General features: G+C 38.0%; 2 annotated features.

Moving 5' to 3' along the window:
* Positions 8,944–10,143: an enhancer, noted in NCBI's record as "P300/CBP strongly-dependent group 1 enhancer chr9:6152686-6153885 (GRCh37/hg19 assembly coordinates)". NCBI's record gives its function as "activates an origin of replication core promoter dependent on BRD2, BRD4, P300/CBP, MED14 and CDK7 cofactors, with strong dependence on P300/CBP, by STARR-seq in HCT116 cells {active_cell/tissue: HCT116}" and the evidence as "EXISTENCE:reporter gene assay evidence [ECO:0000049][PMID:35650434]".
* Positions 22,797–23,298: an enhancer, noted in NCBI's record as "H3K27ac-H3K4me1 hESC enhancer chr9:6166539-6167040 (GRCh37/hg19 assembly coordinates)". NCBI's record gives its function as "activates a minimal SCP1, AML or CMV promoter by ChIP-STARR-seq in primed H9 embryonic stem cells {active_cell/tissue: H9 hESC(primed)}" and the evidence as "EXISTENCE:reporter gene assay evidence [ECO:0000049][PMID:30033119]".

Below are 24,767 nucleotides of genomic sequence, written 5' to 3' on the forward strand. Positions count from 1 at the left end.
GGAGTGGGAGATGATTTGGGGATAAAACTGTTCCACCTCATAAGAATCATCAGGCATTAGCTTCTCATAAGAAGCATGCAACCTAGATCCCTCGCATGCGCAGTTCACAATAGGGTTCACACTCTTATGAGAATCTAATGCTGCCACTGCTCTGATGGGAGGCAGAGCTCAGGCGGTAACGCTCACTAACCCACTGCTCACCTACTGCTGTGCGGCCTTATCCTAACAGGCCATGGACTGGGTACTGGGATTTGGGAACCTCTGCAGTAGGCTATACAGGACATTTCTTTTTCCCTCACGGCAATGGCAGAAATGCAAAAGGGCAAGCCCAGTTTCAAATCTGCTAACATCCCATTGGCCAAAGCAAGTCACATAGCCAAGCTCTAAAAATTCTATGTTCAGAGAACACAGCCTTCCAAAAGGAAGGCCAAATAAACATTTTCAGACAAATAAAAACTGTGAGAATTTGTCACTGCCAAAGAAAATAATAGAATTCTTCAGACAGAAAAAAATGAATACAGATGGATGCAGACACATGAAAAAGAATAAAAAACAACTTAGAAGGTAAATAAATTAATCTAAATGAATTTCGACTGTATAAAACAGCCCCAGTAAAGTTTTAGGGCATACACACTGTGTAAATGTAAACAGAGAATTTAATATATAAAAAATTTATATGTGTCAGCAATTGTCATAAATGGTAGAAGGGCAAGTGGATTTAAATATTCTAAGGTCATTACTTTTTCCCAAAATTGACCCGTACAATAAATACAATCCTGATTTTAAAAATCAATAATATTTTTTGTGGGGGTGGACAATGAGAATGTAATAACTAATTCTAAAATGTATATAAGGATACAAAGGGTCAAGAATAGCAAACATGCACAGCTCAGTTATTAGGCTTTCATTGTCTAGTCTTTCAATACACGCATATCTTTACTATTTGAAAGGTGTTACAGCTGTCGAAGAATCGTTGTGGACCTGAGGATAATTTCTTGCAAAGCTGAATGCAAGGGTACTGTCATTCATAGTGTTGATATAAAAATACCAGAAATCTTCACTTTTGCTACGTAGATATAGCATTGGGCTATTATGTTACAACACTGAAATATATTGATTTATTTTTAAAATACTTTTATAAGAAAAAAAGAATAGCAAAGATAATTTTATCTTTCTTAACCTCTTATGAAAAGTGTCAAACATATACAAAAGCAGACAGAAAAATATAATGAACCTATTACCCATCTTCAATAGTTTTCAGTTCATGGTCAGTATTGTTCTATCTATACCCCCATGCCCACTTCTTCATGTAATTTACTTGTGCTTTCAGGGCCTACTCAGGTCCAGTCATGTATATACCACTTCCACTTGATAATGAAGTGTTGCTGTGCATGCCATGCCCAACTTTATGTCTCGGTGAATCAGATAATACCCAGTTATGATGAACCACTATAGTCACATGGTAACTTGGTAGTCTGTGGTCAAGTGTTGATTTTTACTAAGGCCCAGCAGCAGGCAAAGAGCTGCCTCTCTCATTATCTGTGGTGATGGCAGGGCCCTGTCTCAAAAATCCTAAAGGCTTGTGCTGTCATTCACTTATAGGTGCCTGGCAAAGACTCCAAACAGCATCCCTATCTGCCACCAACACTTCAAGCACCATTAGATCTGCTGGATCATATGTCCCAAGTGGCAGAGCAGCCTGTACAGCAGCCTGGACCTGTTGTGGAGCCTTCTCTTGTTCTGGGCCCTAATCAAACTAGTAGCTTTTTGGTCACTTGAAAAAGAGGCTGGGTAACACACCCAAAAGAGGAATATATTGCCTCCAAGATCCAGATAGATCCACGAGGCATTGTGCCTTTTTCTTGGCTGTACGAAGGACCATATGCAACAACATTTTCTTCACCTTAAAAGGGCTATCTAAACATGTCCCATACCACAGGACCCCTAGAAATTTCACTAAAGAAGGCCCCTGAGTTCTAGTTGGATTTATTTCCCACTCTTTGGCATACACATGTCTTACTAGTCTAGAGTAGTTGCTATATTTGCTAACTGGGGCCAATCAGCATAATGTCATCAATGGAATGCACCAGTATTAACCCTCGTAGAAGGGAAAGGTGATCAAGTTCCCTGAGAACTAAATTATGACATAGAGCTGGAGAGTTGATATTCCCCTGAGATAGCACACTGAAGGCACATCGCTGGCCTTGCCAGCTGAGGGCAAATTGCTCTAGTAGGCCTTATGGACAGGTATGAAGAAAAAGCTGTCTGCAAGATCAATAACTATATATGAAGAAGCAGGAGATGCGTTAATTTGCTGAAGCAATGAAACCACATCTGGTACAGCAGCTGCAATTGGAGTCATCACCTGGCTGAGATTACGATATCCATTGACATTCTTCAAGATCTCTCTGTCTTCTGCACAGGCCAAATAGGAGAGGTGAATGGGGATGTGGTTGGAATTACTATCTGTCCATGCTTCAAGGCTTCACACTAATCTCTGCAATTTATCCAGGATGAAATATTGCTTTTGGTTTACTATTTTCCTAAGTAGAGCTCTCATGGCCTCCAATTGGCCTTTCCACCAAAATAGCTCTCACTCTGTAGGTCATGGAACCAATATGAGGATTCTTCCAGCTGCTAAATATGTCTATTCCAATTATGCATCTAGAACTGGGGAAATAACCTGGATGGTCTCAGGGACCCACTGAACCCACTGTGAAATGAACCTGAGCTAAAATTCCATTAATCACCTTACCTCCAAAGACCTCTGTTAGGAAATAAAAAATAAAAAACCCACAAACTGTTTTTTCCTCTGCTCTCACATCGCAGCAACAATCACCACAGAAGATCCGTGACTAAATGTGTGGGGATTTCTCCCCACCAAAAAGCAAGCAAGCAATTCTGTACCAACTAGGTGTCCTCCAATTCAATTAATTTTGATGCTTTCTACCTAGAGATAACCTCAGAAACCACAAGTTGAGGGCTCAGTCTCTAAGACTGTTCTTCCTTCAGACACCAGTTATAAGCCCAGGCCTCTGGAACTTCTGATCAACTGGCTTCAAGTTGGAGTTCCCACAACCTCTTTTTGGGGTTTGATTATTTTGCTAGAGGAGCTCACAGAACTCAAGGAAATACTTGAGTTCTGAAGCACTGAAACCACAGGACCCCTAGAAATTTCCTCAAGGAAACACTTGAGTTCAGTAAGCTGCTCAGAGGCAAGGTGTTGGGGAAGGGGCATACAGCTTCCATGCACTCGTTTGGTGTGCCACCCTCCAGGAACCTCCAGGTGTTCAGCTATCTGGAAGCTCCCCAAACTCAGTCTTCTTTGTCCTTTTATGGAGACTTCATTGGATAGACATGATTGAAGCATGAAAAACCATGTAGAAATGTGATTGGACAAAAAGGATATGATCTAATAGTAACAGTCTGAGTGGGAAAACCCAGAAAGACCTCTATATTTAGATTCTTGGCCTCTATGTGTAGCATTTCTTCCTCCAGGGTATGGGACAGGACCCTCTCTAGAATGCAGGCCTTATGACTTACTATCAAACAAGGTAGTTCAGATAATTTCTTTATGGACAGAAAGGTGGGGGCTTATGGCTGGCTTTCAGGAAACAGAGTTCTGGTTTCTATGATTCAATCTGGGGAAGAAAGACTCTAGTTTCTAGGGATGGCCTTGAGGGAGAATGAGAGTCAGAAATAGGGCCAGAGAAGGTCAGAGAGAAACTTTTGCTTCTGAGGCCTAAAACACCCTAACATTATAACAGAAGACTGTAACAAGGACTATGGGAGTTATGAGCCAGAAACTGTGAATGAAAAGATATGCATATTTACACATCTGTGCATAACATTACAACCTTCTGGACTGAATGGAAGGCCACAATGATGTTTTGGATCACCTGGAATCAGTCAGTTCAGAGCCAGTGTCTAAGTAGTTCTCAAAAGCTCTGATTATTTTCTTTTCCCCAACGCACAGTTACCCTGGTGAAAGGCAGTAGGTACCTTTGGGGAAAGCTGGGATAAAGATTAGCAGTATACATTTTTGGTAATTTACTTGGGTTCTTCCTAAAGGGAATCCAGCCTCTACTTCATTCGAGGGGTTCTGAGCCTATAAACTGACTTAAGTCTGGAAATCGATCAAAGGGCCATGTTTTTATGATTGGGGTTAGATGTTTGTTCACTTGACATAGTTTTTTGCTTGTATAGATAAAGTGAGAATTTAGTAGGCATCCTATTTCACTTCTAGGAACACCATGATCAAGTAACCAATGTTATAGGCCTGCATGAGTCAGACTATTACGATTGTTGCTTTGACTCTGCTGTCCATTGTGGTAATTACACCCGCCTTGCTTTTGGCAGCTGAGTGCCACAATTTGGCCCCTGTCATCCTGGAATCCAATCACTCCTAATTCATTTAGGTTTTCTTATTGAATGGCTACGGTTACCACTCTGAAGTCTGGCCTACAAAGGAGAGCTATCACAAAGCCCTTCACAGATGCTGGGGCTACCCTCGCAAATGTATTTCTCACATTCATGGTGAAAGATAGGTCTTCTGTATCCTCCCAGTGTGAGTGAGTAGGTCTTAAATACAAATCTACTCTAACATTTCAATATTCCCATGCTGTGGTTTGAATGCATCCCTCAAATTTCATGTGTTGGAAACTCAATCCCCAAATTCATATATTGATGACTTTTGGAGGTGGGGCCTGTAGGATTAGTTAAGGTCATTAATTAGGATTAGTTAAGATCTTTAGAGTGGAACTTCCATGACAAGACTGGTGGCTTTATACAAGAGAAAGAAAGACCTGACCTGGCACGTTCTTGCCCTTTTGCCATGTGATGCCCTCCACCATGTTATGATACAGCAAGAAAACCCCCAACAGATGCTAGAGCCATGCTGTTGAACTTCCTGCCTCCAGAACTTTGAGCTAAATAAACTTAGTTTCTTTATAAATTACCTAGTCTGTGGCATTCTGTTATAGCAACAGAAAACAGACTAAGACACCCTAAGCCATTGAATCCTTCCTCTACATTAAAACAAGTGGGGGTCAGGCATTTCCAATTTGCCCATGGTTTAGCCAACCACGTAACCAAACAATTAGAGCCCTTTCTGACTCCCCAAACTGCAACATTACATGAAAAATCTCTACTTAATGAGTTCATATCAATAAATTCTGCATGATCCAAGTTTACGTTCCTTTCACCATTACCCCACACTGTTAATATCCACTCCTGCATATGTTGCCAAGATTTCTGCTTGTATAAATTAGAAAACTCAAGTATTAATACCTTTTTTTTTTTTTTGGAGTGTAGTACAACTCCTCATGGGTCACACTTTCTACTTCACCCTTAGGGGCCTGCTGAGACTTGAGTCTAATTACAGTTCTAGAAGCAAAGAGGGATGATGGGGTGGATTCTGAGGAGAAACAGTGTTGTCTTGCATGGCAACTGCCTCAGGACAGGCCATTACTATTTTCTCAGGAAATGCTGGGTTAATGCCCTTAGATGGAGGTGGAAAAATTGGTGGAAAGGCAGATACTACTGGAGTTGGAGAGGCCACGTCTTCTGGGGGTGAGGAGGCCTCTTTCATTGGCAAAAAAGACTCATCACAATTTAGGAGTCTAAGTTCCCAGTGAAAAATTCTCCCTGGGACCTGAAAGCTTAAGGAAATGAATAACTCCTTCCTCCTCAGGCTCAGTGCCAAGGCGCAAGGCCACTTGCACCAGCAGTGTGCGTGAGCGGGATAGCAGAAGCAGGAAGAGAGCTGGCCGGAAGACACGTACTCCCTGAAGACTGAGAGAGAGGTGGTCTGGGTACTATGTAGCAGTCACATTGGACTGGGGCACTTCCTGTTTACAGGAGACTATAAAACCCCTGCCCCATCCTCATTTGGTGCTGACGCCATTTTAGGCCTCTGCCCGCCTGCACCCAGGAGCTCATTAAAACAGCGTGTTGCTCCATGCCACCTCGTGTTGTCTGCTGGCACGCTCTTGGGGTTCGAACCAATACAGGAGCCTCGCACCCAGCTTCATCAAGATCTTCCAGTATGTCCCCATCCCAACTTATAGGATGCTATTCTTTCCCAATCAATGCCCTTACTTTAATAGTAGATACCCTGTGAGGATGGGAGTTCAACTTGCATTGTAATTCAGCCAATCATAGGATAAGGTTCTGCATTTGATTTTTCAGCAATTTCAGCCCTGTGGCTATAGGAGATGAGGCTGTCTTTGAGGGTATATCTATAGATTCTTAGGTCATTTGTTCAGTGCTTAAACTAGGAATTCAAATATCTGAGCTCATCCTTTTCTTTCACTACTTTATCCAGCAACATTAGGAGCAATAAACAAATGTCATTATGTTCCCTAATTTAAAAAAAAAAAAGTCTAAAAGTATATAACATATAAAGTTACTTAGCCCATTACATTCTATAAGTTGTTGATTAGGTATATCCAATGTAGATATTTTGTGTATCTCTATAAGCAGGTTATGTCATGAACTTTCTTTACTACTGGAAATAGAGTCACTAATGTCTTTAAATCTAATCAAATTAGGGACCCAATTCCAGAAATCATAGAGCCAATTCAGAAAATTCATCTGTAAAATTCTATTCCTCTAGAACCACTCTTGATGCCAAAATCTATAGAAGTTAGGGTTTTCCAGAGAGACAGAAACAATAGGAGATATATATATATAAAATAAAATATAATTAAACAATAATAAGAATAATTTATTATAGAAATTGGATTTATGGAGATCAATACATCCCACGATTTTATATCTGCAAGCTGGAGAACCAGGGAAGCTGATGGTGTAATTCAGTCTGTCTAACAGTCCAAGAACCAGGATTGCTAATGTTGGCAGGAGGAGAAAGGTGTCCCATTTCAAACAGAAACAAAACAAATTTGCCCTTCATCTGCCTTTTTGTTCTATGTGGGCCCTCAATGAGTGGATGATGTCTGCCTACATTGAAGAGGGTGATCTTGTTTACTCAACCGATTCAACTGCTAATCTCTTCTGGGAATATTCTGACAGGCACACACAAAAATAATGTTTTGCCAGCTATCTGGGCAACACTTAGCCTGGTCAAGGTGATGCATAAAATTAACCACAACTCAAATGTCCACCAACTGATAAATGGATAAATGAAATGTAGCCTATCCATACAATGGAATGTTATTCAGCTATTAAAAGGAATAGAGTACTGATATATGCTACAACATGAACAAACCTTGAAACAATGCTAAGTGAAAGAAGCCAGTCACAATCTCTATCTTTCTCTATCATCCGTGGCAATCATTCACTAAGTCTTCTCAATTCAACCTGTTTTAACATTTCCAAAAAATAACACTTCATATTCAAAATTCATTTGGTTGTGAGCAAAGGAAATTTACTCAGACCAACTTACACAGATATCCTTTTAGTAACAACTCCTGAGGTGTGTCTCTTCCTAAATTCCAAGGGTAAGAGAGTGCAGCCGAGTCTCATGAAAGACTGACCTGCTCTTACTATGATCATCAATGAACTTCCTATAGTCAAAACTAAAGGACTCTTTTCCATTCTTATCCTACTTGACCACCCCACAGAATTTGATACACTTTATTCTTTCTTGAATCATGCACACATGCTCTCTCTCTCTCTCTCAGAATGGGAAAAGTTGTTTTACACAAGAAGTTCCAATATAGGGTTTCTCCATGTATACATAATTCATTGGTTTAATAATGTCATCCATATTCCTTCCATGTTTTTATTCTACCATCCTCCTTTGGTCAGCTTTGTCCCTCAAAGTATCTCCCTTCACAGTCTCCAATAGCTCTGTTTTCTTTTAAATCTTAGGTCTTGCTTCTGGGGTCATTTTTGGGAGTTCCTGTAGCAGCTTGAAGCAGCCAGAATGAACAAAAAGGATCCTGTCCTCCAAATATTGGGGATCTGTATTTGGATTGCCAATCACTGCTTCTGATCACAGTGGTACAGACAAAGAAGTGAACAGCTATTGTTTCACCTCTACCCTTTTTGCAAGCCCCTCCCATCCATCTGAGATGACTTCCAGGGGATTCAAAGGACCAGGGCCATTTTTCCCCCTTAATATTTTTGATTCCCTTTTGGGAACCAGACGTTAAAGACTAGGACTTTCAGAAACAACTTCATAGAGGGGGAAATTAGAAAGTGACCATGCATACCCAGGGAAAGGCTCAGGCTCAGAAAAGACCTGAAAGGACCTTAAGTTTATATATATCAGACATACAACAATAAAAAAGAGTAAACAAAAACAATGACTAAATCTAGCAAACTCTGGAAAAGGAGAAGAACTTGATTTCCAGATTTACCACATTTTTAGATTCAAATGTCCAGTTTTCAATGTCAACCAAAAAAAAATCACAAGACATACAAAAAAAAAAAACAAAAACCAGGAAAGTATGGTCTATTCAAAGAAAAAAATAAATCAACAGAAACCATCCCTGAAAAAGATATGATGTCAGATATACTAGATGAAGACTTTTAAACAGATGTCTTAAAGATGCTCAATATTCTAAAGAAAGATGTGAAGAAAGACCAGAAAAAATATATGATACATGAACAAAATGGAAAAATCAATGATGATACAGAAAAACCTAAAAATAAACCAAAAAGAAAGCAAGGAGTGGAAAAATAAAACCAAGATAAAAAATTCACTACAAGGACTAAAAGACATACTTGAGCATCCAGAAGATAAAAATAGTGAAAGGTGAAGATAGAACAATGGAAATCACTGAGTCTGAGGAATAGAAAAAAGGCCGAAGAAAAATAAATAAAACCTAGATAAGCTGTAGGACACCATCATATACATTTTGGGAGTCTCTGAAGATTAGAGAGAGAGGCGGGTAGAGAGAATATTTTAAGAAATAATGGCTGAAAGCTTCACAAATGTGATGACAGACTTGAACATAAACATACAAGAACTCAACAAACTCCAAATAAGAAGAATTTAAAGAGACTCACCCAAAAACACATTATAATCAAACTTTTGAAAACCAAAGACAAAAACAGAATCTTGAAAGTGGCAAGAGAGAAGCAATTTGTCACTTACAAGAGATCCTCAATTAGAATATCATCAGATTTCTCATCAGAAACTTTGGAAAACAGAAGCCAGTGGGTTAATAAATTCAAAGTGCGAAAAGAAAAAGAAACCTGTCAATCAAGAATCTTTTATCTTGCAAAACTCTCCTTCAAAAGCGAGGAAGCAATTAAAATATTCCCAGATAAACAAAAGCTGAGTGAGTTCACTACTAAACCTGCCGTGCAAGAAATGCTTACGTCTTGCAAGGTGAAATGTAAGAACACTAGACAGTAACTCAAAGCTATATGAAGAAATAAAAATCTCAATGAAGGTAAATACATGGACAATTATAGAAGCTAGTATTATTGTAACAATGGTTTGTAACTCCATTTTTTGTTTTTTGCATGGTTTGAGATTCATACGTTAAAAACTATTAGTCTAAAAGCTAGTATTATTGTTAACTTTGGCTTGTAACTCCTATTGACAGAAATTAAGGCTGTTGAGGCAGAAATAATTTGATAAAGGTTTATTGGAAGCCAAATGTGAGGATCAACCTGGGAAGACACATCAGAAAGTTGGGAGTGTTCCAGAATCTGTTACAAGTTGGAAGGCTTTTATAAGTAAGTTTAGGAGAAGGGAGAGGGGCTCCTCATAGTGAAGTTGTCCTTTTTCATTGGAGGGTACAACACAAAGATTGGCTGCAAAGTATGACATACAGGGCAACATACAGGTTAAAATTCTATGCACAAGACAATCAGTGAAACTTCATGATTCAGAAACAAATCACCAAAACATTATGATTCAGAAACAAATCAGCAGCCTTTTTGATGTCAGTAGGTTATAAATTAATCATTATACGTCAATAATTTGAGAAACTCAGATAAGATTCTTTACTCATGAACAGGATGTTGCCATGAATCACAAGACTGCCCCAAGATAGGTTAATTTAAGAAGCCCTGTTTACTTTTAAAGTAAACTGCCAAATATGAACTGTAGGTTATCACCCCACATTTTATTTTCTACTTTTTTTTTTTTTTTTGAGATCGCATCTTGCGCTGTTGCCCAGGCTGGAGTGCAGTGGTGCAATCTCGGCTCACTGCAACCTCTGTCTCCTGGGTTCAAGAGATTCTCATGCCTCTGCCTCCCCAGTAGTTGAGATTACAGGTGCCCGTCACCATGCCCAGCTAATTTTTGTATTTTTAGTAGAGACAGGGTTTCACCTTGTTGGCCAGGCTGGTCTCAAACTCACGACCTCAGGTGATCCAACCACCTTGGGCTCCCAAAGTGCTGGGATTACAGGCATAAGCCACCATGTCTGGCCAATCTTCTAGATAATTTAAGAGACTAATGTATGTAAATAAATTATTACTTTATGTTTTGGGGCATGAAATATAAAAAGATGTAATTTTATGACATTAACAACGGAAAGAGGTGGGGACAGAATTGTAAAGAAACAGAGTTTTGTATGTTATTGAAGTTAAACTGGTATAAATTCAAATTAGAGTATTATAACTTTAGGATGTTAAGTGCAATCCCCATTAAACCATAAAGGAAATAGCTAAAGAATGTACACAAAAGGAAATGGAAAGAAATTTTAAAATTTCACTGCAAAAAATCAACTAAACATGAAAGAAGACAGTCAATAAATGCAGGAAATGAGAGGCAAATAAGCTATAAGCCATAAAAAACAAATAGCAAAATGAAAAAAATTAAGTTTCTCCTTATCAGTATATACTTTAAATGCAAATGGATTAAACTCTACCATCAAAAGACAGGGATTAGCAGAATGGATACATACATGGTCTGACTATTTACTGTTTACAAAAGACTTACTTTAGATCCAAAGATATAAACAGATTAAAAGTGGAAGCATGGAAAAAATATTCCATGCCAATAGTAACCAAAACACAGTAGGAGTGGGTATAATAATATCAGACAAAATAGACTTTTTTTTTTAACAGGGTCTCACCCTGTCACCCAGGTTGGAGTGCAGTGGCACAATCTTGGCTCACTGTAGCCTTGACCTCCTAGGCTCAAGCAATCCTCCTACCTCAGCCTCCCAAGTAGCTGAGACTACAGGTAAGCGTCACCATGCCCCGCTAACTTTTGTATTTTTTTGTAAAGATGGCATTTCACCATGTTGTCCAGGCTAGTCTAGAACTCCTGGGCTCAAGTGTTCCACCTGCTTCGGCCTCCCAAAATGCTAGGAGCACAGGCATGAGCCACTGCTCCCAGGCGAAATAAACTTACAGGGCTATAGTGGACAAAGAAGGACATTATATATTAATAAAAGACCCAACACAGCAAGAAGATATTCAATTATAAACATTTACCCATCTAAGGACAGACCATCAAAACACATAAAGCAAAAGCTTACAGAATGAAAGGGAAAAAGAGATAGTTCTATAACAATAGTTGGAGACTTCAATACCCAACTCGCAATAATGGTGAGAACAACCAGACAGAAAATAAGCAAGGAAACAGAAGACTTAAACAATGCAATAAACCAACCAGACTAACAGGTATATACACAATCCTCTCTCCAACAACTACAGTATACAAACTTTTCTCAAGTGCACATGGGACATTTTGCAGGATACATCATATGTTAGGCCACAAATTAAGTCTCAATAGATTTTTAAAAGATGGATATCATACAAAGTATCTTCTCTGACCAAATGACATAAAGTTAGAAATCAATAACCGAAGTGAAATGGAGAATGTATAAATTTGTGGAAATTAAACAACAAACTCTTAAACAACCAAAGTAAAAATCACAGGGGAAATTAGAAAATACTTATAGACAAATAAAAATGAAAACACAACATGCTAAATCTTATGGGACAAAGCAAAAGTAGTCTGTGGGTGGAAATTTATAGCTATACCTGTTTACATTAAAAAACAAGAAAAATGTCAAATCAACATCCTAACTTTACAAGTTTAGAATAAGAAGAACAGGCTGGGTGTGGTGGCTCATGCCTGTAGTCCCAGCATTTTGGGAGGCTAAGGCAAGCAGATCACTTGAGCCCAGGAGTTCAAGACCAGCCTGAGCAACATAGTGAAATCCAATCTCTACAGAAAATACAAACATTATCTAGGCATGGCGGCACATGCCTGTGGTCTCAGTACTCAGGGGGCTGAGGTTGGGGAATTGCTTGAGCCTGGGAGGTCAAGGCTGCAGTGAGCTATGATTGCACCACTGCACTCCAGCCTGGGTGACAGAGTGAGATCTTGTTGAAAAAAAAAAAAAAAGAAAAGAAAAGAAAGAAAAGAAGAAGAAGAACAAACTAAACTCAAAGGTAGCAGAAAGAAGGAAATAATAAATATTAGAGCAGAGGTAACAAAATAAAGAATAGAAATAAAGAGAAAAATCAACAAAACCAAGAGTTAGTTCTGTGACGAGATTAAGAAAATTGACAAATGTTTAGTTAGTTGTATTAAGAAAAAAAGAGAGAACACTCAAATTACTAAAATCAGAAACAAAAGTGGGGATATTACTGCTAATTCTACAGAAATAGGAAGGATTATAAGAGAGTACTATGAACAATTGGGTATTGACAAATTGGATAACCTAGATGAAATGGACAAATTCCTTGAAACAGAAAGCCTACCAAGACTAAATCAAGGAGAAATAAATAATCTGAATAGACCTATGACTAGTAAAAAGATTTAATTAGTAATGAAAAATCTTCTGACAAGGAAAAGCCCTGAACCTGATGACTTTGCTGATGAATTCCACCAAACATTTAGAGAAGAATACCAATCCTTCTCAAACTATCCCCCAAAAATTGTGGAGGGAACCCTTCCTAACTCATTCTATAAGGCCAGCATTACTCTGATACCAAAGCCAGTCAAAGACACTACAAGAAAAGAACATTATGTCATAAAATTCATTTTGCTGATATTTTGTCAAGGATTTAAAAAACCCTTTTAATATTTTGACTATTTAATGTCAATGTTAACCCTTTTAACATTATGACTATTAATGGAAAAATCCTTGACAAAATATTAACAAAACTGATTCAGCACCATATTAACAGGACTAAATACCATATACACCATTACCAAGTGGTATTTATTCCTGTAATGCAAGGATGATTCAACATATGAAAACGGATTAACAAAATATACCACATTACACAGTGAATAGAAACAACCACGTGATCATCTCAATTGATACAGAAAAAGCATATGATAAAATTCTATACCCTTTTATGATAAAAACACTCAACAAACTAGGAATAGAAGGGAAGTTCCTCAACATGATAAAGGGCATTTATAAAATTTTCATGGCAGCTTTCCACTCAATGGTGAAAGACTGAAAGCTTTTCTTCCAAGATCAGGAACAAGGAAAGATGTCTGCTTTGTCTGCTTCTATTCAACATAGTACTAGAAGTTCTAGCCAGAGAAATAAGGAAAGTAGAAGAGATAAAAGGTATCCAAATCGGAAAGAAAGAAGTAAAATTCTCTCTGTTTGTAGATGATATAATTTTATATGTAGAAAACCCTAAAGATTCTACAAAAAACTGTTGGAACTAATAAATAAATTCAACGAAGTAGCAGGATACAAAATCGACACACAAAAATTAGTTTTATTTCTATACACTAAAAATGAACAATATGAAAAAGAAATTATTAAAATTCTGTTTGTAATAGCATCAAAATGAATAAAATACTTAGGAATTAACTAAATAAGTAAAAGACTTGAACAATAAAACCGACAAAACATTGCTGAAAGAAATTAAGACATAAAGAAATTGAAACAAATTTCATGTTTGTGCATTAGAAGAAAATATTGTTAAAATGTCAATACTACAGAAAGAGATCTTCAGATTCAGTGCAACCCCTAGCAAAATCTCAATGATTTTTATTTTTTATTTTGCAGAAAAACCCATCCTAAAATTCATATGAAATTTCAAGGGATCCTGAATAACCAAAAACAATCTCAAGAAAGAAGAAAGCTAGAAGACTCACACTTCCTAATTTCAAAATTTACTACAAAGTGACAGTCATTGAAACAGTATGGTACTGGCATAAAGGCAGTGCCATAAAGGCATAAAGTCAGACATACAAATCAAATAAATAGGATTGGGAGCCCAAAAATAAACCCTCGCATGTATGGTCAAATAATTTTTGAAAAGGAAGCCAAGACCATTCAATGGGGGAAAGAACAGCCTTTTCAACAAATGGTGGTGGAAAAACTAGATATCCACATATCAAAGAATAAAGTTGAAACCTTACCTAATTATATACAAAAATTAACTCAAAATGGATTAAAGACCTAAATGTAAAACTTAAAACAATAAAACCCTTAGAAGAAAACATAGGGAAAAATTTCACAACATTGGACTTGGCAATGATTTCTTGGCTATGACAGCAAAAACACAGGCAATAACAACAAAAAAATAGATTGGTCTTCATAAAAATTTGTGCTTGAAAAACTACTATCACCATCTGCTGCATAATCCACCTCTAATTGGCTTGTGAGTTTCTTTTCTTACACATGAAATTCTTGCATTATTTGAAATGGTTTCAGAGCAATTTATTCAGCACGTATCCCACCCTCCTGCCCCCCGCCCTTTCCTTAGAGACAGGGTCTCACTCTGTCCCTCAGGCTGGAGTGCAGTGGTACAATCATGGCTTGCTACAGCCTAAAATTCTTGGGCTCAAGTGATCCTCCTGCCTCAGCCTCCTGAGTAGCTAAGACGACAGGCTCATACTTCCATGCACAGCTAGCTTCCTTCCTTCCTTCCTTCCTTCCTTTTTTTTATTTTTTAATTTTTTTTGTAGAGACAGTTTCTCGCTCTGTTGCCCAGACTGGTCTCAAATTCCTGGTCTCAAGCAATCCTCCCGCCTTGGCCTCCCAAAGTGCTGAGATTACAGGCATGAGGCACCGTATTTGGCCTTTTTTTTTCTCATTAATTTGTTCATTGATTCTTGTTCATACAGTCTTTTTACTTCCTTAGGTTACAATCCATTTATACCCAGCTGAGAAAGTGTCTGTTTCTCATCTTATTTTTTCCAAATATTTTATAGTAATCTTACTTGTTAATTTCCCAGGTGAAATATAACCAGGAAAATTTTGTCCATTTCTAAATTCTGATTGTGTTAAATTCTTCTAGAATTTCATCTGGAAGTGGGGTAAACTATGAATTACTCAATTACTCAGAGAGGAATTGAAGTTTTTAAAAAGAGCTTCAAGAACACATATTTTTATATATTTACTCAAATCTTCTTTTATATTTTGTATACATCTCACACATTTATTTTTAGGGGTATTCGGTGTGTTTTTTAATTGCTATTGTGGCTGGAATATTTTTTTGCCATCACACCTTTTAACAGGTTGTATAGAAACAAGTTAAACAGTAAGTAAAAAAAAAAAAAAAAAAAAGGCAACAGCATGAGAGAAAATAACCTGCAAATTATATATCTGATAAGAGATTAATATCCAGAATACATGGCAAACTCCTAAAACTCAAAAACAAACAAATGAATAAAAAACACAATTCAAAAATGGGCAAAGGAGTTCAATAGACATTTTCCCAAAAGAAATATAAATGAAAAGGTGCTAAACATAACTAATCATTAGAAAAATGCACATCAAAACTCCAATGAAATACCACTTTACACTCATTAGGATGGTTACTATCTAAAACAAAACTAAACAAAAGTAAAGGTTAGCAAAGGTGTGCAGAAATTGGAACACTTGTACACTGTTGGTGGAAATGTAAAATTATACAACCACTGTGGAAAACAGCATGCAGTTTTTCAAAGTTAAAAATAGAATAAAAAATAGAATTACCATATGAACCATCAATTTCACTTTTGGGTTTACACCCAAATGAATTGAAAGTTGTATCTCGAAGATTTATTTGTACACTTGTGTTCATAGAAGCATTATTTACAATAGCTAAAACACAGAAGCAATCCAATATCCATCGACAAATGACTGGATAAGTAAAATGTGGCATATCCATACAACAGAATATTATTTCAGCCTTAAAAAAGAAGGAAATTCTGCAATATGCAACAACATGGATGAACTTTAAGGACATTATACTAAGTGAAACAAGCCAGTCACAAAAAAAGACAAACACTGAATGATTCCACTTATATGAGGTACTTAAGAGCAGTCAAAATCATAGAAACAAAGCAGAATAGTGGTTTCCAGGAGCTGGGGGCAAGAGAAAATAGGGAGTTATTGTTTGTTTAATGGGTATAGAGTTTTTATTTTACAAGATGAAAAGAGTTATGGAGATGGATGGTGGTGATCACTGCACAAAATTATGAATGTATTTAATACCACTGAACTGTATACTTAAAAATGGTAAGATGAGGCCTGGTGCGGTAGCTGATGCCTGTAATCCCAGCACTTTGGGAGACTGAGGCGGGCAAATCACCTGAGGTCAGAAGTTCCAGACCAGCCTGGCCAACATGGTGAAACCCCATCTGTACTAAAAATACAAAAAAATAAGCCAGGCATGGTGGCACCTGCCTGTAATCCCAGCTACTTGGGAGGCTGAGGCAGGAGAATTACTTGAACCTGGGAGGTGGAGGTTGCAGTGAGCCGAGATCATGCCACTGCACTCCCAGCCTGGGCAACAGAGTGAGACTCTGTCTCAAAAAAAAAAAAAAAACAAAGGGTAAGGTGATAAATGTTATGTATATTTTATCATCATAAAAAACTGGAAAAAATACATAATCTGCCTTATTTCATTTATTTCTATGTAATCTCTCTTTTCATTATCAATGCTTTAAATATATCTTTATCTTTGGTATTATGCAGTGTCTAGTCATGAATCGCTTTATTCTGATGTATCTAATCATGAGTTGCTTTTTAAAAAAAAAAACCCTAAATGGTATACAATATGCTTCCTCAGCATGTGGACTCATGTATTTCATCAATTCTAAAAGTTCTCAGCCATTATCTCATTAAATTTGTCCCTCCTTCATTTTCTTTAGTCCTTTCTTCTAGGGCTCCAATTATACATATATTAGCTCTTCTCATACTATCTTCTAAATTATAAACTTCTTTTTCATATTTTTATCTCTTCTCTTCTCCTCTCCTCTCTTTTCCTCCACTTGCCCTTTCCTGAATTCTAGGCATTTTATCCTGTTCTGCTTCCAGTTAATCAGTTCTCTAATCACCTAAACCACTGTTAACTTGTCCATTAATTTAAGAAATTTCTACAATTATACTTTCATTTCTAGAAGTTTTCATTGTTTGTATTAAAAATAGTCATTTATTATAGTCTACATACTCATCTTTTGTGAAGTATGCTTTATTTCTTTAAATATTTATACATAACTTTCTTACATTATGTATTTGAAAATGCCCATATCTGTAGTTCTTAAAGCTCTAAATCTATCATTTGTTGCTGCTGCTGACTCTTCCTCATGGTGGCTTACCTCCATGCATGCCTAGTGACCTTTGATTCTCTTGACCATCTCTTTCCCATTAACTTATAAGAAGAAACAAAGCCCTGGGAGAATATTTGGAAATTAAAGGAGTGCTCCCATTCTATTTCTGTCTTTGTTTCTGTATCTGTCTCTCTGTCTTCCTGTCTGTCTTTTTCTCTCCCCTCGACCTCTTCTCAGTTCACAGGTTCTTTCATCTCTGTTTCTCTCTCTATGTCATTTACATTCTCTTTCCTTTTTCTGAGGCCATGCAGTTCTCTACTTCTTTTTACGTTTTATAGAAGATGGCTGTCCCACAGTTTATATAATCCTCAGTTTCAGTCACACACGGGGACTAACTGACTGAGAAATAGAACCTGACTGATCCATCTCAGGCAAATGTACCCCCTGATCCAATCAGCTGTAACTACAGGTCAGGAACACATAGCACAAAGATGGCTGTGGACTTCCCAGCCCTGAGGAAGAGAGGACCAATTCTCAGACAGGAATAACTGAGCAAAAATATGTCTTCCAAACACCCTGTCCTCTCAATCCCTGTTGTTGTTTCTGCCTTCATTCATCATTTCACTATGAATGGCTGCAAACATTTCCTGACAACTTGCCTTTCTTCCAGCCTTTTCTTCTCAATCCACTCTCTACCAGAGTGATCTTTGTACAATGAAAATCGCATCATGTTACTTTCCTAATGAAAACCCTTCAAGAATTCTCTATAACCTCTATGACAAATTCCAGACTTCTTAGGTTGGCTGGAAGAAGTAATTTACTAATTTGAGTCCTAACGCCTAATCTTTTTCTTTACCATAATCCTTCCACCCTAACTCCAGACATTCCAAAGAATATTTTGCTTCCCAAAATTTCCTGAGTCTCTCATTCCTCTCTGCTTTCACTCATGATGCTCCATCTACCCGCAGGGCCCTTCTTCCCCTTGCCAGCTTGGCAAATATCTATCCATCTATGAAGAAACAACTTGCTTCTTCTGGGAGGCTTTTTTCCTAAATCCAATTATCTATTGGGAATTGACCTCATTTTTTGTGTCATCCCTATTCTTTTTTATTTTTTATTTTTTCTTTAGACAGAGTCTCACTCTGTCACCCAGGCTGGAGTGCAACGGCATGATCTTGGCTCACTGCAACCTCCACCTCCCGCGTTCAAGCAATTCTCCTGCCTTAACCTCTCAAATAGCTGAGATTACAGGTGCCTGCCACCATGCCCGGTAATTTTTTTGTATTTTTAGTAGATACAGGGTTTTACCATGTTGGCCAGGCTGTTCTCAAACTCCTGACCTCAGGTGATCCACCCGCCTCAGCCTCCCAAAGTGCTGGGATTACAGACATGAGCCACTGCACCCAGCCATCATCCCCATTCTTATAAGCCATACAGTACCTTTCACACTCTAACCCAGTGATTTGTTTGCCTGCCTGCTCCAGTCGTCATTGAACTATTAGCATTTTTAAGGTAGGAACTGTGTCTTATTATCTTCATATTTCCATTTCCTAACACAGAACCTGGTACATACAGTGTTCAAAGAAATGCTTGTTGAATAGATGAATAATTCCTTCTTCCTGTGCTTCTGTGGATGTTTCAAATCAAAGGATCTCATAGCCCTTGGACTCATATTCTGAAAGAAAGAGCTAACATAGAATGCCACCTCTAAATTTTTTCTAGAAATATACATATTGTATCTTTTTCAAATTGCCAATGTTAATTCCCTCTGACCATGGAGGATATCTGTGAGTGGACTAGAAATTAAGTTTTCTAAAGCTCTCAATGAAAGACCCCAAGCCAAATAGAGAACCAGTGGCATTTTCAATCTAAAATAATTTAAAACCTTCAACATAGGTGTCACTGAACTAAAGCTAAGTGAGGAGAGCTTAAATTCCAGCCCACTAGGTAAAATGGCATTTGAATAATCAAATTCCAGGAAGGGCGCCAGTTCAGGGCTCAGCACACATCTGAGGGCCTCAACTGTGTGTGTGTGTGTGCACACGCGCGTGTGTGTGTAATCTCCACATTTCCTAATAAGATCTTTTAAGTGAAAATTACTGACTGTAATTTTTTCAAAATACAGAAGTAATTTTTAATAAAATAAACAAAAAAACAAAGTTAACTTTATGTGTACTCAGCACACACATACACAAACACAGCTTTATTCAACATCTTATTCAATTGTGTAAGCTGCATTCCTCACTCAACATATTTCTGTGTTAATCAAGTTTTTATGACTCCATTATATTCCACATTATGGATGTATCATAATTCATTTATCCAATTCTCTATTAATAGAGAATAGTGCTTACTATGAGTCCTAGACATCTTATATATACAAACCTGCTTATTATTCACAACAATCCTATGAAGTAGGTACTATTATTATCCACATTTTGTATATAGGAAAATTAAGGCACAGAGAACTTAAGTAACTTGCCCAAGGTCAGATACTTTATACATGGTAGAGGTAGGCTCCAGAGTCTGCTTTTGATGATTATGCAATATTATTTCTCTGAAACTGGGGTTAAATTGATTAGTAGCTGGTTGTGAGCAAGGATAAGTAGGAAGGTTACATTTTGCTGAGACTTTGTGTTAAATATGGCTAAGAGCACATGTTCTAAGTCAGGCTGTCTGGCTTCAGATCCCACCTTTGCTACTTATCAGCCCTGTAGCTTTGGGTTATTTGATTCACTTCCTATATCTCACTTTTCTCATCTGTGAAACAGGGTTAATAACAGTGCCTACTTCAGATAATGCTATTAGCGCCAACTATTAAATACTTAAGCCTTCAGATAGATGATAACTTTTATTAGAACACCTTGATTCACCATGGGGCAATTTTCCTGAATTGTAGAATGACTCCCACAAAAAAAAAAAAAAAAAAAAAAAAAAAAAAACAGAAAAAAACTGCCTTTTTAAAACTCACTTAGCCTTCCAAGTCCAATCTTAGGAGATAAGAGAACTAGCCCTAACTAGAAATAATGGAAAACAGAAAGAAACATATCTGCAAATCAGTGGTGCTATATTACATATAGTGGGGAGGAAATGGTTCCATAATGCCCAAAAAGGTACCTGAACTGAAGTCACTATCCTTAAAGTTGAGTCTTTGACATTGTGCATTTTCTCCTGATGTCAAGAGGGCTGGCTCAGGTTCCAGAGAAATCTAGACAATGGTGGAGTGGAAATGACAAGGCAGCTTTCCCAAGACAGAAAAGCATGTGAAAAAGTGAGCATTAACCCTTTTTCCCCACTAGCTTTTAAATTTGTTAATTTTTGGCATCCTTAAAGTCTCACTTCCCTAAAGCACAGCCTTAATTACCCTGCCTTAGCTGTGATTCAATAATAAAGAAGAGTTATTGAGTGCATGAAATAAGCTAGCACCTACACTTGACATTTATTATCTCATTAACTTACCGCAACCCAGTGAGGTGGAAGGAGCCAATGTATGCCAGAGGTTTTGTGTGTGCGGTTTTTTGTTTTGTTTTGTTTTGTTTTTAAGAGACAGGTCTCTCTATGTTGACCATGCTGGCACTCCTCCTACCTTAGCCTCCCAAGTAGCTAGAACTACAGGTGCATGCCACTACCCCCCACAGAAAAAGTTTTAAATGGCATGCCCAAGTTGACTTAGGTAACAAATGACAGAGCCAGAATGAATCCAGGAAGCCCACACACTTAATGGCACAGTTTTACATGGCACAGCTTCTCCGTGTGGTAATGGTCAACCAGTTAGAAATGTTAAAGATGGAAGGAGCCTTAGGAATTCCCTAATCCAAAGTTTCCCAAAGTGCAATATATATCCCTATCTAGTATAAGAGGTGACTTTAAGGGGTGTAGAGATAAACATTTTAAAAGTAATATGTATGTTTTTATATTAACATATAGTAGAAAATATAGCTAACATATCAAAACTGTGATTTCAGTCACAATGTATTAATATGTGTAAAGTGTTGGTATATCATAAGTGTTGTGTAAGTGTTTGCTATGATGACCTAGATCATTATGATGAGACTAATTTTTTAAGAGTCAATCTTGAAAATAATAATAGTAAAAGCAGTACACAGAAATAGCAAAAGTCATAAAATTGATTCTTAAGTTACTAAAGTTTGAAAATACTAAACTCTTCCAACTTCTTTGTAACAGCACAAGCTTTGAATTACTGTTCGGAATTATTAGGTTGAGCCATATTAAATTGCCATTTGTATAGCATCAGTATGGTCAAGTACTGGAAATGCCGTTTGGCTCAACCTAATATTCAAGGCTCTTCCTATACTTATTAACTGTGAGAATGTGGGTAAGTTATTTAACCAGGCAATGAAGAGGGTCCAGCTCTTTGTCTATATTGGTAATTTTTGCTCCTTTTGCTTCTCTTGCTAAATGTCTCTGCTCTCAGGCCTGGTCCTGCACTACGTATAATCTCCTGCTCTGGGTGGGCCCAGAGAATGCCCCATTGTGGCATTCTTTCCACTGACCACAGGCATGGCCATGGAGGCTTTCACTGCCTTTCTCAAGACCAGAATAATTAGTGGTTGCCTCTTCAGGTGTCTCCTAGCCACCCCACGCTGAGGGTGCTATGAGCAACTTGGGAATAATCTTTATCATTCATGAAAACCTTGATTCAGTGCTGGGAAAGCTAACCTTTCCACTCCCTGATCAGGTTTGTTTTCCCTTTATCAACTCACAGTATAAGCTTCCATCCCCATCTGCTGTACTCTCATTAGGCTGAGATTACCTTATAAAAACATAGGTGGAAGCCGTCATCCTATCATATGACAATTTCTGCCCTGAAACACACAGAAAATTAACCATCTGCTCTGATTTAAAACAAAACAGCTCCAAACTCAGACTACTAAAGCTGGTGTATTCTACCTATAAGGAGATGCAGAAAGTAAAAGGTATTTTTCATTGTTGTGTGACCTTCTTATATTGGTAAGGACTTGACTGAAATTGATATCTGGAAGTATCCTGCCACTTGGACCTTTCTCTATTAGTCTTGGAGTGATATGAAAAGAATATTATTTCAAGTATTGCCGGGGTAGGATTCAGTGAGGCAATAAATCACATGCACAAAAGGTATTTTTCTTTGTGAAGAATAAGAATGTGAGCTACCAGATCAAAACTGACTTGGAAGGCAGAATTTTAACACTTTTTTTTTTTTTTTTTGCAAACTAAGTGAAAAAGACACATTTGGAAAGTGATCACATGCTGTTAGTGAGCAACTTAATCAGTTTTGTTCTGAGTTTGAGGGTAATTAACTAATAAGAAATCATGGTTCAAAACAATAAAACTTTAACACACAACATGAACATGTTCAAAGATGGTCATGAATGTCCATATTTGTGAACATAGAAATGTTTAGGCAGGTACCTGACCTTCCCTCAAATCATAGATCCCACTGAGAGTCTCCTGTTTTCTGTGCATATTCTCAAGCCACAGGTGTTAACTCCCTTTCAACTTCTACTAAAGTTTTCCCGTCCTCTGATAGCCATTTTTCACATGTGAAAACTCGTTTCCATCTTTCACAAATGTAATATGCTACAGTGAGTGAAATTCAGCAAAGGCAAGACGAGACACAGCTGAGCGGTCAGAGAGGCATGCTCTTTGTCAAAGTAACTCCAGCTTTAAAATAACTCTCATTCAGGATCACTTGAGCCCAGGAGTGAGCTAAAGTGATTCAAGTGGCCTCACAATCTGTTCAACAAATATTTTGGCATTACAAAAAGAACCTTTTCAAATTTATTTTTTAGTTTCCTTGGCAAACGGGTTAACCAAAAGGATCTTCTGTAAGTGGACAAGGATTGAGAAAACTAAGGAATTTGATCCATTGAACCTATTGTCACGGAAATGCAGTGGTTTTGTATGGACCTAAATAATTTGGGCAACATAGCGAGACCTTGTCTCCACAAAAGAAAAATTGAGGCCAGGCGCGGTGGCTCACGCCTGTAATCCCAGCACTTTGGGAGGCCGAGGCAAGCAGATCACAAGGTCAGGAGATCAAGACCATCCTGGCTAACACGGTGAAACCCCGTCTCTACTAAAAAATACAAAAAATTAGCCGGGCTTGGTGGCGGGCGCCTGTAGTCCCAGCTACTTGGGAGGCTGAGGCAGGAGAATGGCGTGAACCCGGGAGGCGGAGCTTGCAGGGAGCCGAGATCGCACCACTGCACTCCAGCCTGGGCGACAGAGCAAGACTCTGTCTCAAAAAAAAAAAAGAAAAATTGAAAAATGAGCCAGGCATCATGGCATGTATCTGTGGTCTCAGCTATTTGGGAGGCTGAGGCAGGAGGATTGCTTCAAGCCCAGGAAGTTGAGCCTGCAGTGAGCCATGATTGCACCACTGCACTCCAGCTTGGGCAACAGAGTGAGAGCCTGACTCCAAAAAATTAAAGAAAATATATGTAAATAAGTGAAACAATAAATAAAAAATACTCAAACACACATGATGGGAAGGTATGATCTCGAATACACATGATGGGAAGGTGTGATCACTTGCAAAGAGTTATCATTGAAAAAGTTAAATTCATAAAAGCTAAGTGTCTACTGCAGCAAAAATTACATATCAAGTGAGAACGTAATTGTTTAAAAGTGCCTGAGACAGGTGCAGTGGCACATGTCTGTATTACCAGCTACTTGGAGAGCTGAGATGGGAAGATTGCTTGGGCCCAGAAGGTGGAGACTACCCTGGGCAAGATAGTAAGATCCTGTCTCTAAAAGGAAATAAAAGTGGCTGAAAGAAAAAAAAACTTGCTGAACATTCTTGTGAACATCCTTGTGTTCCAGTGCCCCAACTGCAGTCCATACTATAGAACTGTTCAGAGCCTAGAAGCTGCTGGAGCCAGAGGGTGGAGATGAGCCATAGGAGAAAACTGACCAGAGCTGCTAGAAGAAATAAACAACAATTTGACCTAATAACAAGAGCACTTAAAGAGATATAAATATAGCAAAATCAAAATATACTGGGGGGCTAACAAGCCATTATTTATGAACCTCCCTTCCCACCCAAGTCACCTCCTTTATGTGTGGTAGGATGTCCCCAGTCTAAGATTTAATCTATGTTCAACGTTCCAGGTTCTGTTTTGGGATTTCCGTAAAAACTAACCCTTTTCTCACCATGGACTTTCAAAAGCCTGGTTTTAAACTCAGAGCTGAGCAATTTCTTTCTGCCTAGACAGTATCTGCCTTTCCTTCTCTAGGGCAATAAACCTCAGCCTCAGAGGCTAATCTTCCTGTCAGAGGGGTTATGAGAAGAATCCATTATCAAGAAAAGAAAATACTTCAAGTGGTATTTTGACATGATACCAGGACACAAGAAATGATTATACCCAATTCC

The sequence above is a fragment of the Homo sapiens genome, chromosome 9 (assembly GCF_000001405.40).
Source record: "Homo sapiens chromosome 9, GRCh38.p14 Primary Assembly".
NCBI lineage: Eukaryota > Metazoa > Chordata > Mammalia > Primates > Hominidae > Homo > Homo sapiens.